At 44.3% G+C, this 17,728-nt stretch overlaps 2 long non-coding RNA genes across 4 annotated transcripts in view, besides 1 other annotated feature; both read right to left on the reverse strand.

Annotated features, from left to right (window-relative positions):
- Nucleotides 1–17,728, reverse strand: part of LOC105370003 (uncharacterized) — a 389,555-nt gene that overhangs the window by 243,508 nt on the left and 128,319 nt on the right. The gene's annotated exons all lie outside the window — the stretch shown is intronic.
- LOC105370002 (uncharacterized) overlaps nucleotides 1–17,728 on the reverse strand; it is a 59,593-nt gene that overhangs the window by 35,475 nt on the left and 6,390 nt on the right. The window lies entirely within an intron of this gene.
- Nucleotides 6,591–7,107: an enhancer, noted in NCBI's record as "H3K4me1 hESC enhancer chr12:116061414-116061930 (GRCh37/hg19 assembly coordinates)". NCBI's record gives its function as "activates a minimal SCP1, AML or CMV promoter by ChIP-STARR-seq in naive and primed H9 embryonic stem cells {active_cell/tissue: H9 hESC(naive and primed)}" and the evidence as "EXISTENCE:reporter gene assay evidence [ECO:0000049][PMID:30033119]".

Consider the following 17,728-nt stretch of genomic DNA (forward strand, 5'->3'; position numbering starts at 1 on the left):
CGCCTCAGCCTCCTGAGTAGCTGGAATTACAGATGCGCGCCACTACACCTGGCTAATTTTTGTATTTTTAGTAGAAACGGGGTTTCACCATATTGGCCAAGCTGGTCTCAAACTCCTGACCTAGTGATCCGCCCGCCTGGGCCTCCCTAAGTTCTGGGATTACAGGTGTGAGCCACTGCACCAGGCCTGACCTTGGGCATTCTTTTTGTCCTTGGTTCTCAGTTTCCTCCCCTTTAAAAGGAGGTGATTGAACCTCCATAAGTTCAATGAATTAGTCCGAATTCTCCAGGAAGCAGACTAAGACAGGATTAAACATTCAGGGGTTTTATTAGAGGAAGTGCCAATGAGAAGGAAAATAAAGAGGAAGCCTGACCAGGCTGGAAGAGTTATCAGACCTTGAGTGAAGGGGAGAGGGGAACAGAAGGTTTGGGGGGAGAGTCTTAACACAAGGACAATGATGATGGGGCATTCTCACACCCAGGTCAGCCATGCAGGGAGGCCCGGGTCTCTAGGAATCGGCAGGCCCGCCTTAGAGCCCCTACGCGTACACTCATTGGCTGGGAGCTTCCCTGGAGGCGTGGCCTTGGCTCAGCCCTGTAGCTGGGGCTAAGGTAGGTGCATCACTTATGGTCTCCAGAAGGGGGTCCACAAGGTGTGCACTGGTGGCCTCCACTGTCCCAGATGGTCCCATGGAAACAGTAACCTTAAGGCGCACTACAAATTATTGCTCTGTGTCACCTTCTTCCTCTGTAAAACAAGGATAACAATGCTAAATGGCCTGCCTCCCATACCCGTGAGGCTTGAATCCAGGTACTGCATTATAAAGACAAGGTGTTACGCTTGCCAGGACGTGAGCCCCCTTGGTGCAGGGATAGTTTTTTAGTCTTTGCCTCTCCACAAGAGCAGGACGAATTGCAGGCTACTGAGAGATAGGACAGCACGTTGTTCTCCATAGCGGGACAAATGCAGGCTACTCAGAGAGGAAGGAGAGCATGGTGGTTAAGAATCCAACCTGCCGTGTGCATTGCTGCTGGGAATGTAAAAAGGTGCAGCCGCTGAGGAAACCAGTGTGGAGGTTCCTCAAAAACTTAAACATGGAATTATCACTTGACCCAATAATTACTTTTAGCTAAACACCCCAAAGAAGAGAATGTAGGGATTCGAACAGATACTTGTACAGAAATGTTTGTAGCGGCATGATTCACAATAGCCAAAAGGTGGAAACAGCCCATATGTTCATCAACCGATGCATGGATGAACAAAACGTGGTCTATACACACAATGGAATATTATGCAGCCTTGAAAAGGAAAGAAATTCTGATATATGTTATAACACGGATAAACCTTGAGGAGGTAATGCTAAGTGAAATAAGCCAGGCACACAATGATGAAGACTGTATGATTCCACTTATAAGAGGTCCCTTATAAATTCAGAGAGACAGAAAGTAGAATGGTCGTTACCAGGGAATAGGGGCGAGGGGAATGGGAAGTGCGTGTTTAATGGATACAGAGTTTCAATTTGGGGTGATGAAAAAGTTCTGGAGATGGATAGCGGCACCTGGAGGGGCACAGCAATGTGAATGCACTTCATGTCACTGAACTGTACACTTAAGATATTTAAAATAGAAAATCTTACGTTATGTCAGTTTTACCACAATTTAAAAAAAAAATACAGAATGAGGCCCTCAGAGTCAGCCCACCTAACTCAAATCTCAACCTTACCATTTCACACAGGAGTCAACCAAGGCAGGTGGCTGCTCCTCACCGTGCCTCCATTTCCCCATCTGTAAAAGGCGGGGAGTGATATCCTGGGTCATAAATGAGATGATGTCTACGGAATGCTTAGCGGACCATTCCAGGTGTCAGTGTGCAATCAATAAATGTGTTCCATGATGCTAATCAGGAGTGGGGAGGACCACATGGGTGGTCCCAGGTGTTCAGGTGGCCTTGCATTGTAGTGGACTGCAAATGCTCTCTAACCCTTCCAACCACAGTGATTGACATTCTTCCCCACAACTACACAGACAGCTCCTGGTAAGTGGAAATTTTCCAACTGTTGGAGAGTCCCTTCCCCAGAACTCCAAGAAAATAAGGTCTGGCCTGGCCACACGTGGCATGTCTGCCCCCGGGGCTGGGCTGAGAGGTCAGCCTGACCTCATGTGATTGCTCCCTGCCACTTCCTCCCCGCCTGCCAGCCCCCCACCCACTAACCCTTTACAGATCTCTGGAATAAGTGAGGCTCTGTTAGGCCAAGACCTCCAGGTGCCGCCACCCCAACTGCTGAGTCTGCCAGCCCTCCAGGCAGGTGGGCCTGAGTGCTGGTAAGCGCCAGCACTTCCTCCAGCCTTGATGGGGTCAGGGATGGCAGCTAATTGGAGGATGCTGAGCTGATGCCTGTCTCCGGCTTCCTGCCACCTTGCCTGGGGAGGTCATTCACTGTGGGCAATATCCCTCCACCACCTACCCCCAGCAGCTGCAATGCAGACAGGAGTTTATTACTCAATGCAAGTGCTGCAAGTGCTCCCCCAGCACATGGCGTCCTGTCCCATCCTTGCCATTGCACTCTAGCTCCTTAATGATCTCCAAATCTCTCATGCTAAACCTGTAATAATAGACTCCAACTTTTCAGTACCTAGTCTGTGCCAATTACTTTAAATACTAGCTGCTATAACAAGCAATCCCCCAACTCAGTAGCTTATCTATGGGGCAGCAAGGATGTGCTCTACTTCCTCAGGGACCCAGGCTCCTTCTCACTCGAGTCTTTGCCATCCTCCAGGGCAGCAGTTCTCAGACTTGGGCATGCATCGAAAACCCCCGGAGGGCTGGTTAAAGCACAGATTGCAGGGCCCCACTCACCCCTAGAGTTTCTGATTCAGTAGTTCTTGGGCTGGAACATAGAATTTGCATTTCTGACATGTACCTGGGAGATGCTGCTGATCCAGGGGGCCACATTTTGAGAATCAGGGCTCTAGGTCATTATATCCCTGGATATTTGCATCTAGCTGATAGGGGAGGGAAGCAAGGGCATGGAGAATTATGTAGGAGTTTGTTAAGAGGCAGGCCCACCTTCCATTGGCCAGAACTCCATCACACGACCCTCACTTAACTGCAAGCGAGGCTGGGAAATGTAGTCTATATGTGTACCTGGGAAAAGAGGAGAACCAAGGCTACTGTGAGCCCTATGGCACCCACTGCCATGAACACTTTCAAATAATCCTCGTGACACCTAATAAGAGAAGCAGCATTTTTACCCACACTTGACATAAGGGAAAACAAGGTCAGAGAGATTATGTTGCCTGCCCAAGACCACAGGGCTAGTGGAAGGCAGAGCTGGAGTTCGAACCCAGGTCTACCTGATTCTAAGACTTAAACAGGAAGCACACAAGTCTGGGCACAAGTCTTTACTATGTGCCATGATGATGCTTGGTCCACACTTTTGCATCTCTTTTCAGTGCTCACATAAACCCCATGAGCTCAGCAGTGTGTCCACACTTTACAGATGTGCAAACCGAGACTCCAAGAGAGGAAATGGCTGTGTGTGGTCACAAAGCTGGCCGGTATGAGGCAGACCCAGATCACACCGTTATGCAGCACGGCAAGCAGCAGGTAGGGCCTGGCCTGCAGGGTGAGTGGGCTGCCAGGATGAAAGATTTGAGAGGCTCCAGGACTTGATATCCAGGAGGTGGCAGATGATGGAGGAACTAACCCCAGGGAATACGGAAAGTCACTCCCCGTCTGGGCGTGTTCGCTGGAGGGAGGGGGCCTTAAGTAGGAACCAGAGTGAGGGTGTCTATGATCCCAAGGAGGCCAGGCTGGGGCTCATGGGGAAGCAGAAAAGGAAGCCTGGAGAGAAGATGAGTCCTGACCGTGGTTATGAGGAATGTGGCTGGTTTTAGCAGATTCAGTAAAAGTAGAAATTTGCAAAGTATGTGTGATGATTGCCATGATGCAGATGGGGAAACCAAGGCTTAGCAAAGCAAGTTTTTGGCCAAGGTTGCACAATCGTGAGCTGCAGCATCTGCCTGCAGCCCCAGCTCTCAGTTCAGCAGCTTCATCCTTGCTGACTGGGCAACTGTTTCCCACCGTTCCTTCACAGCAGGCTTGCCAAGTTGGCACCTGACAGTCAACAGCAGCATTCAGCCAGTCAGACAGAGAGACAGGCCTGAGCTCACATCTGGCTCTGCTACCTCCTCGCCCTGCAGATATTGACATGTGACTTAAATCTGAGTCTCAGTTGCCTCATCTGTAAAATGGGGTTTAATACTAGTGCCCACTTCAGAAGAAAAATAAAATAAGTAACTTAATGAGCTCATGCCTTCAGCAGTTCTTTCAACTGTCATTTGTTGAGTCCCTACTATGCGCCAGCACTATTCTAGGTTTGGAACTAAGCTAAGTCCCCACCCTCTTGGAGCTTACAGAAACAGACATCAAACAAAATAAGTAAGTCAATATCTAGGATGTTCATTGAGGCATGGTGGGGCGCCAAAACAAAATAGGGTTAAGGGGGTCCTGACTTTGATGGAGTTTGGGTGTTTCTTTGTTACAGGTGGTCAGGGCAGGATGAGGAAGGGATACAGAGGCTGAAGACGGACGAGAGACAGTGAGAAAGCAATGGCATTTCTGAGTGGCAGCAACAGCTCTCTAGAGGGGATTGGGCAGGAATTCAAAGTAAGAGAATCAGCACAGTAGAGGGCTGTGGTGTCACTCAGGGTTCTCCAGAGAAACAGAATCAAGAGGAGATTTATTTTAAGGATTTGATTCACCAATTGTGGTGGCTGGCAAAGTCCAAAGTCCACAGGGCAGGCTGGGACTCAGGCAGGAGCTGATGCCCCGGTCTTGAAGCAGAATTTCTTCTTCTACTCCAGAAACCTGTTCTCGCTCTTATAGCCTTCAACTGATTGGATGAGGTCCACCCAGATTACTGAGGAGTCTCCTTTACTTCAAGTCAGCTGATTGTCAATGCTCACCACATATCATAGCAACAACTACATACATGTGCTGTTGAATATCTGGGTGCTATAGCCTAGCAGGTCGGTGCAGCGAACTCACCATCATGGTGGTCCCCCAGCAATTTGCAGCCCCAGAAAAGGACAGAGGAGTGAGGAAGGTCAGATGGGTTAGGTTTTCTCCAGGCACTCTAAGGGAGGAAGGGAGGGCAAGCACAGCAAAAGTATAAGCAAGGAGACTCCAACTTCTGGGTCTTAGAAATGGTGGGTTGAGGTGGAAAGAGAAGAAGTGAAAGATAGGAAGAAACCAAGACACTAGAATCCCCTGTGAGGTCAGGAATTGTGGGAGGTGGCATTTCAGAGAGGGTGTGCTGGAAAGATGGTGGTCATCAGACTTCAGGATTAACAGGGTTGCAGTTTTGGTGGCAACAGGATTTGGGCATAAGAGAGGTAGAGACCCTGGCCTCTGAGAAATCACAGTAAGCACTTTGTGCAGCTCGCATTGCTGTGTGACCTCAGACAAGCTGCTTTTCCTCTCTGGGCCTCAGTTTCTCCATTCTGTGAATGGGAGGATGGCCAAGCCACTACAGTCTGGCATGGCATCAGACAAAAAACACGTCATCTAGAGCTGTGTTATCCACTAGTGGAATCACCAGCTTAGGTGGCTATAGAGTGCTTGAAATGAGTTGGACTGAACTGAGATGCCCTGTAAGTGTAAAACATACCAGATTTCAAAGACTTGGTACACACACACACACACACACACACACACACACACACACACACAGAGAGAGAATGTAGGATATCCCATTAATACTTTTATATTGATTATATGGTAGTCTGGGTGCACATATGATAATAAGTGGCCTGTAATCTCAGCACTTTGGGAGGCTAAGGCAGGAGGATTGCTTGAGCCCAGGAGTTTGAGACCAGCTAGGGCAACATAGTAAGACCCCATCTCTACAAAAAATAAAAAATCAGCCAGGCATAGAGGCAGGTGCCTGTAGTCTCAGCTACTTGGGAGGCTGAGGCAAGAGGATTGCTTGAGCCTGGGAGGTTGAGGCTGCAGTGAGCTGGAGTCACACCACTGCACTCCAGCCTGGGCAACAGAGTGAGACCCTGTCTCAAAAAATAAAAATAAGTAAAAAATTAATACTTCGTATATACTGGGTTAAATTGATTATATTATTAAAGCACATTTTAGTTTTTTTTTTTAAACTTTGCTTTTAAATATGGCTACTAGAAAATTAAAAATTGTGCAGGAGGTTCACATTATATTTCTAAGCAACAGCACTGTTCTAGAACAGGGGTTTGTAAACTGCAGCCCTTGGGCCAAATTTGACACGCTGCCTATTTTTATATAACCTATGAGCTACAAATAGTTTGAATATTTTAAAGGCTTGAGAAACAAATCAAAAAAGAAAACTATTTTATGGCATGTGAAAATGATATGAAATTTAAAATTCAGTGTCCACAAATAAAGTTTTATTGGAACACAGCCTGGCCCATTCAATGCACGTTGTCTGTGGCTGCTTTCGTATTGAATCAGCAGAGTTGAGAAGTTGGGACAGTGTGGCCAGCAAAGCTGAAAATATTGACTCTCTGGACCTTTAGAGGAAAAAGTTTGCTGACTTCTGTTCAAAGCGTTATTTATCCACCTATACTGTGCTTCCGGCCCTGGTGTAGAACATACACAATGCAGATTCCTTAGCTCCAGCCTCCAGGTGTGGGTTTGGTTCAATGAATCTGCATTTTGTTAAGTAGCTGAGAGCATTGTTCAGATCCCTACTCTGCTCCAAGCCAGGTGCTAAGCCTTTATGAGCATCACTTCATGTAATCCTGGTGAGTCAGACACTGGAAAATCCCCATTGTACAGAGGAGGAAACTGAGGCTCAAAGAGGTGAGAGGCTTGACCTCACACCCAACGCAGGAGGTGCGTGGTGATCCCCTCTGCTGTTGTGCAGAGGAATGTGCCCACCCATCTCCTCTGACGCCTGGGCCTTTGTGCTGGGCCGGAATGTCTTCCTGCCTTTCTCTAGTTGTGTTTTCCCCGGATCCTGTGGGCTGAGCTTTATCCCAGGGGGCTGCCTCCAGAAGGGCTGTGTGTGGCGTCCCGGCGAGGAGGAGGAGGGGGCAGAGCCGCGGGCTCCAGGCCAAGCTGTGATTTAATAAGCAGACACTTAGGGCCCTGATGCTGGGCCCAGCCCGTTTGGGACAGCCCTCTCCGCTAATTGTCCATTGGCTGCCGCCGTCCTGCCGGCATCTCCCGGCTCATTAGGAAAGGGAAGGGGGGTAATCTGGGAAGAGCCTCCTTGAGCTCCAACGGCTGCAGAGATTTTTATCACACTAGACAGCACAGTTGCGTTCATTCCTCCCAAGGAGGATCAAAACAAGGCTGGTCCAGTCCTGGGAGTCACACTCCAGCTGTGGCTTAGAAAGGACACAGGATTTGAGTTCAAATCCCACCTGTCACTGTTGAGCTGTGTGATTTGAGCAATTGACCAAACTTCTCTGTGTCTTAGTTTCCTCATCTCTAAAATGCAAATAATAATATGCAAATAAAAACCTCATCTCTACAATGCAAATAATATAAAAGGCAAATAGCCCTAACAGGGTTGCTGTAGGGGTTAAGTTACTACAGTCAGTGCCATATGCATTTGCTTCTCCTATTGCTTCAAAGTGTCATCAGACTGAGAAAAAAGGCAGAACATGGAAAAGGGCTTGACCTGTGTCAAGGAGCTCAATAAAGGGGGTTAGTTTGAGTTATTGCCATTTCTTTGGGGGTTGTTAGAAGATGTAGGAGAGCCTAGCTGGCTGCTCCCCAAAAACCTACTTAGCTTCCTTCCCCTTGGCACCCAACAAGATCACATTTCCCAGCCTCCTTTGAAGTTAGGGGAGACCATGAGTGTGAATTCTGGGCAATGAACTTGGGCAGCCTTGAGGTGTGCCACTTCCAAGCCCAGCTGCCCTAACAACAGCGTCTTTCTCAGGAGCTCCATGCTCTTTTCACAATCCCCATTTGCCATCTGGATTGAGAAGATGCTAAAGAATAAAAGGAAGCAGAGCCCAGTATGGAAGGCACCTGGGACCCTGAAAGACTGCATGGAGCAGGGTCTTCCCCACCCCTGCTCTGCCACCAAGCAAGCAACAAACTTGTTTTGAGTTAAGCCATGGACATTTTGAAGATTTTTGTTGTGGTGGTGGTTTTAGCAACTAGTCTATCCTGAGTAATAGAGAGGACAAAATTGTCCCAGAGTGAGAAGAAGAACAAATCGTTAGTTTCTGTAGACAGCCATTGTCATATTCTAGGAAACCAGAAACCATGTCAGAAGACACTCAAACAGCCCTGTGGAGAGGCCCATGTAGTGAGCAACTGAGGTCTCCTGCCAACAGCCATGGGAGTAAGCTTGGAAACAGATGCTTCAGCCTCAGTCAAGCCTTCAGATGAGATCACAGTCCTGGCCGACATCTTGACTGCAACTTCATGAGAGAACCTGCCAGATCCACCCAACTACTCCTTATCTGAAACCCTACCCCACTGTAAAATAGTAGGTATTTGTTGCTTTAAGTCACTAAGTTTTGGGATGACATGTTATGCAAAAGTAGATAACCGATACACTGCATTGTGGAGCAGGTTCCCACAGTGGCCAACTGGAAACTGAATCCTTTGGAGAACTCTGAAAGGCTGCATAGAACATGCTTTAAAGTTACGTTCCCTGAGTGGGGAAGAAGACAAGTATTTATTCTCTAACACCCATCCACTGTTGATAAAGGACTGCTCCTGGGGTGTTGATTCCCCAGCATTTCTACCCTGCCCTTCACTGAGTCCAAGAGAAAGCCCTCAGATGGAGAGTCTCAGGTGTTTGCATTGGCACCATAGGCATGTACTTGACAAGTGCAAAGAGAATATTGGTGAGGTATAGCAAGATCTGATACAGTATCATGTGTCCCAGATTTTCCAGATGAAATCAAATTCCCAAATTTCTTCTTTTTCCATAAAGGTGAGGCACTAAAGCTGTATAAGTAAAGAGGCTTCTTTTATGTACCTTTTGAAGATGTTTCATTAAAAATAAACCAGCAAATGAGAAGAATCCAGGGCTGGGAAGAGTGGAAGGTTTTTTGTTTGCTAATTCTCTTAATAAACTTACTAAGTAGTGCCATAAAAGCAGAATACAAAATAGCACCTTATACTGACATTGAATGTGCCACAGTACAATTAAAAAAATGGGGCCTTGCAAAATGGCATTTTTATATTGCCTCATAAAATATCTAATATCGAACTTTGTAAATTACATCAATGCCTTTGAACAAACATTGAGTTCTTTTTAATAAATAAAACGTTCAAAATTATTTCCTGGAAGTGCATTTTAGACATTAATAACTGGCTTCAAATGAAATTCTGTTTCACAGCGATAAGCAAATTTAATTGCTGCAAACTAAAACAGTCTGTAAGGCTTACCTGCTCCAGAAAGGAAACAAAATATTGAGCTAATGTAACCATCAAGATATATAACCTGCTACTCTTTGAATAAACCAAATTCCATCCCTAAACACAGAGAGCTCAGAAATTCAGACCCAAGGACATAAATATAAGGTATTTCCTGGAATTAGTTTCATATGTTTTATATATTGCAGTTATCAATTGATCTGACACAATATCTGAGCCAGTTTAAAAATTACATATTGTGCATCAGAAAAATATACATTTTCATGACATCTGGTACCCTGTGTTATAAAAGTATATACTCATTTATTTTAACTAAAAAAAGCACTATTTCCACATCATTAAAAATAATAGTAAGTTCAGTAGTATAAATCTCCATTCCATTTCTTACACCAGAGGTCAGTAAACTCCAGCCTGAGAGGCCAAGTCCAGTCCACCACTTACTTTCATATGTCCACAATCTAAGATTGGTTTTACATTTTTAAATGGTGGGAGGAGTTCAAAAGAAGAAGAGTATTTGGTGATATGTAAAAATTATAGGAAATTCAAATTTGGGTGTCCATAGATAAAATTTGATTGGCACTCAGCCATGTCCATTTACTTACGTATCATCTATGGCTGCCTTCACACTACAATCACAAAGCTAAGTAGTTGTGACAAAGATCTTATGACCTGCAAAGCCTAAAATATTTACTATCTGGTCCTTCACAGAAAAAGTTTGTTGACCTTTACTCCACACCACCCCTATCTCCTCTCTAAGGAGTTAGGAACTCTCTAAGGGAAGCTGTTAGGAACTCAAAATACTTAAAAGGGTAAACAGCAGTATTGGTTTTAGCCACCATTTACTACCTCAGGGTCTCCTTGAAGCCTGCAGTGGCCTAAGGAAGAAGATAGGAATGGCCATGGGATAAACTATATCCATGGAAACCCCCAACCTGAGTTATTTACAATCAGACAAGCATAATGTGTCTTTTCTTTCTCCCCAGAGTTGATGTGTCTGACTGAGCAAACTACATAAATTACTTTGACTATCAACTTCATTTAAGCCTCTGGAGATACAGATATCAACAAGCAGGAAGAATAAACATGGCATTAATAGGTAGGGTGGGAAGCTTGTACAATGCAAATCCTTTGGCCTTCACTGTTTATTACAATCAGATTTCTAAGCTTGATAGAGCTAGTTTGGCCCTAATTCACCTGAGATCACTTTTTGAAATGATGCTATTCAACTTTCTTTCAAAAAACTTTATTTTTTAAGTTAGAAAACCTCTTAGAGTTTATTATTGAAAATGTACAAGACAGCTGGGCGTGGTGGCTCATGCCTGTAATGCCAGCACTTTGGGAGGCCGAGGCAGGCAGATCACAAGGTCAGGAGATCGAGACCATCCTGGCTAACACAGTGAAAACCCATCTCTACTAAAAAAAAAAAAAAAATACAAAAAAATTAGCCAGGCATGGTGGTGGGCACCTGTAGTCCCAACTACTTGGGAGGCTGAGACAGAAGAATGGCGTGAACCCAGGAGGTAGAGCTTGCAGTGAGCCGAGATCGCGCCACTGTACTCCAGCCTGGGTGACAGAGCAAGACTCCGTCTCAAAAAAAAAAAAGAAAAAGAAGACATACAAGACAACACAGATAGATTAAAATTACACTTGTTCCCCGAGAGAGTACTGCTAATATTTTGTTGTCTTGTCTTCTAGGTACCCGAGATTGGGTAACTTATAAACAAGAGATGTTTATTTGAGTCAAAGTTCTGGAGGCTGGAAAATCCCAAATCAAGGGACACATCCAGTGGGGACTTCTTGCTGCATCATAACATGGTAGAGGACATCACATGGTAAGGGATTGTGTGCTTGACAGAGAGAGAGAAAATGGGGACCAGATTATTATTTTGCCAGGAGCCCACTCACTCGATAACTAACGCACTCCATTGATAACAGTATTAACTCATTCGGGTGGAGTCCTTATGACCTAATCGTCTCTTAAAGTCCCTACCTCCCAAACCATTACCTTGGCAATTACACTTCAGCATGAGTTTTGGAGAAGACATTCAAACTACAGCAGTATCTTTTCATGCATTCATGTGCTTTCTAACCTGACATGGACACTCTATGTCAATTAGCACTACAGCATTTCACAAATGCCTGCATATAGAACCCTTTAATTTAATTATTCCCCTATTCAGACATTTTAGTTGTTTTCATTTTTTAATCATAAATAATGCATGAATGAACATCTTTAGAGCTAAATTGGCTCTTAGACACATCCATGAAGATTTTCTTAGAAAACATTTGGGAAAGTAATATTGCTGTCTCTAAGTGGACACATACTGTAAAGACTTTTTATATATGTTATAAACCTTCTTTTGGGTAAGGTTCTTTCTTCCAATATTACATGATGGTGGGTGTTTCACACACACACACACACACACACACACACACACTTATTCAACACATTTTCTGAGGACCTACTTTATGCCAAGCATTTTCTAGGTAATAGGAATGTAAGTAAAGGAATGTAGCAAAGAACCAGACAAATGTCTCTGCCATCACAAAGTTTATATCATGGTGGAAGAGAGAGACAATAAATACAGTATGTAGTATGTTAAATGGTAATAAATGCTAAAGAGGAAACACAGAGGAAAAAGAAGAGGCTTATGAGTTGTGGGGGTAGAAAAGGGGTGGGAATATCAAATGGGACCATCAGAGAAGATCTCACTGAGAAGAGGATATTTGTGCAAAGCCCTGAGGGAGTAAGGACTCTACAAGAATATCTGATGAAAGAGCATTCCAGACAGAAAGAACAGCAGGTGCAAAGTCCCCAAGGCAGGACCATGCCTGGAGGATTCAAGGGGCAACAAGGGTGCCCATGTGGCTGGAACAGAGAGAGACAGAAGTATGAGATGGGGTCAGAGATGATGGCAGGCCATAATAAAAACTAGGCTTTTACAGTGAGTGAGATGGGAATCATTGGGGGATTTGGAGCAAAAAGTGACACAATTTTATATTTTAACAAAATAAATCTGGCCTCTGTGTTGAAAATAGAACTTTAGGGCAACACAGGTGAGGGCAGAAAGGCTAGTTAGGAGGCTGCCGGAATAATCCAGGGGGGAAATGGCATGAGTTTCCCAGGTGATAGCAGTGGAAGAAGTTAGTGGTATATTCTAAAGACACATCACCTATAGATGCATAGATATGGATGGATGGATGGATGGATGGACAGGTGGATGGATAATGGATGGATGGATGATGGATGGATGGATGAATGAGTGCTGGATGGAGAATGGATGACTAGGATACGATAGCATATTGTAATGTATAACACATAAGTGAACATATCAAAATTTGAGGGAGGGCCAATGAGATTCTGCAGTTAGTCTAGAAAAGGTAGAAATAGCATATTCCTTTCCTCAGGAAATTTACCATTCTAGAGTGACTCCCCCAACAATCCTGAAGGCAGATATTATCATGCCCAATTTATAGAGGAGGAAACTGAGATTCAGAGAAGTTTCCACCCTCCCCTCCCCGGCCCCCCGCCGCAATGTCAAACAACTAGTAAGTGGCAACACCAATATTCCAAAATTCTATCTCACTCCAAATCTTCGGGGCAAATACTGTAACCTGAGAAATGGGAAACATGTCCCTTCACCCCAAAGAAACATACAGGGCAAAAGAAAGAAACATTTACAGAGGAGAAGAACTAAAAAAGAATCAAAAGTCGGCAGTTTGTTTATAAGTACAGGAGATGGAAGTGGGGGCAAGCAGTTCATAAAAAGTGTCAGCTGAGAGAGACGAATAAAGATCTTTCCGTCTAAGATGACCTGACATGAGTAGAGACTGCATCCGTAGGCGTCACGCTCTTTCTCCAAGGCTGCAGTTATTTATCTGCTTGAGCTCTTGTTTTTTCCCTTGCTTTAAAGTGAAATGCGCAAACACTCCCACTTCAAAGGGAAAAATCCTCATAAATGTCATTTTACTGCCGGCCTAGAAGAATAGCATCAACAGATCCTGAAAGCAGGGTGGGTGCAGGGACCCCAGGCATGTCTGTGACTAAGAAGGAAAATGGTCACTGGTTGCTGCGATAGCAGAGAAGCCAGCCTTGAATGAACTCAGCTGAGTACATGCCTATAGCAGCTAAGATCATGGCTAAGACCATGACACTGCCTTAGTTCAAATCCAAAATATGTCTCTTTTTAGTCAGACAAGTCCCTCGACAAAACTGGGCCTTGGTTTCTTCGTCTGTAAAATGGAGTGATTTCAAAGTTATTTTTAGGGTTTTAAAAAGTTCAATGTGATATACCTAGCACAGTGCCTGGCAAGTAAGTCTTCAGCAGATGTTAGCTGTTGTCTTTGGGTATCTCTCGCATGGACAGATCTGGGTCTGATTGTTATGGTGCTTCTTGTGGCAGAAAGTGAGTGGCGTCTTCTCATATATGTGGGCATTCAAGATGTGAATTATCAGGTAAGATGCAGGTACCCAGGTAAGAAATAGGAACTTGGAAAGCAGGCTGTAGAAACTGGGCCAACACTACTGACTAGAGACCCAAGAGTTATTCCTCCTCCCTTCTCCCTGGCTACCATCCGCTGTAGAGGCTAGAAAGCGAAACACGGTCAGCCTCCCTTGCAGCTATGGGACTAGTCCTGTTCAGGAAACAGAAATGAAAGCCGGCAAGGGAGAATTTTGGAAACATTATATATAATTTGATAAAAAGAGACAGCCTTAACCTGGACCTTCCCATTTTCCCTTTTCTTCTTTCCCCTCTGGCAATGCAGGAAGTAACCATCTTGTGGCCATGAGGGAGAGCCCAAGAGAATCCCAGGAGCTCTCAAAAGAATACTATTGGCTTACTGAGCCAATGCCAACAATCTACTGCATACTCACAAGGACTTCTGATATGTGGGTGATTTAAGCCTCTGTCATTAGGTTTTCCATGATTTGCAGTCATTTGCATTTTTAGCTAACACAAACACAAGAGGGAAAAGTCCTTCCTTTCCTTAGGCCCAGTTCCCCCGAATCTCAACTTCAAGCAGCCTAGATGTCATCAGGAATACCTCCAGCTTGTTGGAAAACGTTGGCTTCTGCTTCATCAATAGCCAGGAAATAGGCAGAAAGACACCCTAAAGACACTTCAAGCCAAAGAGGAATGTAACTTAGCTAGTGGGACAAATCATCTATTTCTTCTCAATGTCCTCTCAGTTTATTTCCCTTGTGCCATCCCAGAGCCTTTAGGGAGATGCTATTTGACATCCTGTCCTGGTCTCAGATTTGCTACAGGGAATTAGAAGGAGGGCTGCAAGTCTGCCTAGGTTAGATCATTGAATGGAGAATGAGGACTGGCCAAGGGAAATTGGTATCTTGGGGGAAAGAAAATCAGAGCTTTAAGATTTCCTCCCTTCTTTCACACTGTGGAGTCAAGACTGATTTTGTTCAGGGCCCAGGAAGTTCCTAACAGCTACAGCAGAGTTTTCCAAACAGTTTCCTTCTTCAAGTTCTCAGCTTAAAAAGGAAGTTCACAGATAATTGACACCTCAACCCTATTTACATTGCTTGTTCAATCGAGTTCATTCTCCCCAAAAACTAAAGCACATGTCTACATCAGATGAGTTTCTTAATGCTTATCCTACAGATAAAATACATTCTGCCATTACAGTCCTTAATCATTTATTCATGCATGTGTGGGCTGATTGATTGATGAACTGATTGATTCTTTAACATTTGTTGAGCACCTACTGTAGGCCAAATTCTGCATGGAATGGAATTTTAAGTATGACAAGTGGCACATGCCAGCCTTTGTATGGAAACAACATCCTGGGTTTCATCCACTTCCTATGATAAACCTTCTTCAAAACTCATCTAGGGAAACTTCCTCCCAATCTATACATTCCATAATTTACCACCTGGTTGATATTTTTATTGGTTTTGCTCCAAGAGAGCCTAGTTGCAGTTGTTCAAACAGTTTTGCTTAGTCAGCCTGCAAATGAATTTTTAAAAATATCTTGGCAAGTGTACAACTTGCATTGGAGAATTCTGCATGACTTTATTGTGCTTTTACAGAGGGTAGGAGTATATAGAATGGAATATATCACAAAACCTTTGTAGTAGTTTTGGAAGATGGGGGACAAATTGCTTTGCTCAGGACATATAACCACACTACCACCTGGTGGTAATGTTGTACCTGAAACCCTTGAATAAAGGTGGCCCTGAGCCCAAATTTTTGGTGAAATTTATGAATTGGAGAGAGATTTTTCATGTATGAAATTAAAAGGGCCAAGCATCCATGTAAAACCATATCTCAGAAATCTGATGAAAATTCAGATCAATACTTCCCAATTATCATCTTTAACTGCCATATTTATGGTGAATCATAACTGTTCTCAGAAGCAAAGTGCTTTTCATGTGCCTGACTTGAGATAACATTACTATTGCTTCCATTTCACAGCTGAGAAAACGGAGGCTCAAAGAGGCCATGGAACTGCCCAGGGTGTAGAGTTAGCAAAATAGGGAAGCCAGGACTCAAACCCACATTTTCTGATGCTGAAAAACACACTATGCATTTAGGAAGGGTATCATTATACTTTTGGGTGCTGTTTAAATTGAAAATCAATGCATGAATCAATGACATAACAGAGCACATTGGCATCAAGGCAAGTAAATAGAATAAAGAAAACAATAGGTAGTGTGTCTGTATCTGTGTTGACTGATTATACATAGGACAAATAGCCTTGTCTTAGGTTAGGCCAGATGCCCTAGAAGCAGAGCCTGGGACAAGGATTAGGTGCCAGTGATTTATTGAGTGCCCTTAAGAGAAACCTATATTGGTATGGAAGAAACAAGATAGAAAAGTGGAAGAAGTCAGGCAATGATGTGGTTTCAGGTAAAATCTAGCCTCATCCTGATCTGACCAGGAGCCCTGGGGTGTTAATGGCACTGCACACCTTGAGATGAGGAGACTTGACTTTTGTACCCCAGCATATGCCAGTCACTGACTATGGGCTGCCATGGAAGGGAATGTAAAACTCTCAGTTTCCTGCAGGCAAAGTGGCTCCAGTCACTCCAAAGCAATTCTCTGAAGAAGGGTTGGAGGTATGAGCAGTTAGCAGCACCCTACACAACAGCTGGGTGATGCAGACTCAGTTGCCAAAGAGGATCCCAGGGGATCAGGTAAGGCACCAACAGCATCCCTACAGATCCCCAAATCTGCAAAAGGGAGACACAACGAGATGACTGTCAGTGTAGCCTAATTTCTCCAGGAAACAGCCTATCCACACCACCAGGAAGAAAGGCCTCTGCCCTGTTTCTAAGCACTGTTCAATTCACACAATCTTTCCTAATAGGGTCAGAGAGAATATGATATTTCAGTTGGGAATGGAATTGAAAAAAATTATTCAGGTGGGTTCATAAGTAAGGGTGGGACAGGAATACAAATTGGAAATAATCACACGTCCAATTCTAGAAAAACGACTAGGTAAATTATAACACAGCCACATGGCAGAATATCATGCCTTCATTAACACTGAAGGTCATACTAAGAATTGGTGATTGTCACCTTTCATCTGGCTTATTTCCATCTGAACTCCTGGCTTCTATCTATGTCTCCTACAGCCTATGTATTAGTCAGGGTTCTCCAGAAGGACATAACTAATAGGATCTATGTATATATGAGACAGAGTTTATTAGGGAGAATTAACCCACACCATCACAAGGCGAAGTCCCATGATAGACTCTCTGTAAACTGGGGAAGAAATAAGCCAGTAGTAGCTCAGTCTGAGTCCAAAAGCCTCAAAAATAGAAAAGCCAACAGTGCAGACTTCAGTCTGTGGCCCAAGGCCCAAGAGCCCCCTGGCAAATCACTGATATAAATCCAAGAGTCCAAAGGCTGAAGAACCTGGAGTCTGATGTCCAAGGGCAGGAAGAGCGGAAGGAAGCATCCAGCTTGGGAGAAAGATGAAAGCCAGAACACTTAGCAAGCAAGGTCATCCCACCTTCTTTTGCCTGCTTTGTTCCAGCTGTACTCACAGCCGATTGGATGGTGCTCACCCACACTGAGGATGGGTATTCCTCGCCAACTCCACTGACTCGAATGTCAATTTCCTCTGGCAGCACCCTTACAGACACACCCAGAAACAATACTTTTACCAGCTATCTAGGCATCCTTCAATCCAATCAAGTTGACACCTAATATTAATCATCACAGCCTATGATAAACACAACAGCTAGAGATCAGTTTTAAAATCACAGATCAATTCACATGATGCTTATGCTTTCAAAACTTTCTGACAGCTTCTCATCGTACTTTTAATGAAAGTCACAGTCCTCACCCTAGCTCACAGGGTCGTACAA

Source organism: Homo sapiens, chromosome 12 (genome assembly GCF_000001405.40).
Source record: "Homo sapiens chromosome 12, GRCh38.p14 Primary Assembly".
Lineage (NCBI taxonomy): Eukaryota > Metazoa > Chordata > Mammalia > Primates > Hominidae > Homo > Homo sapiens.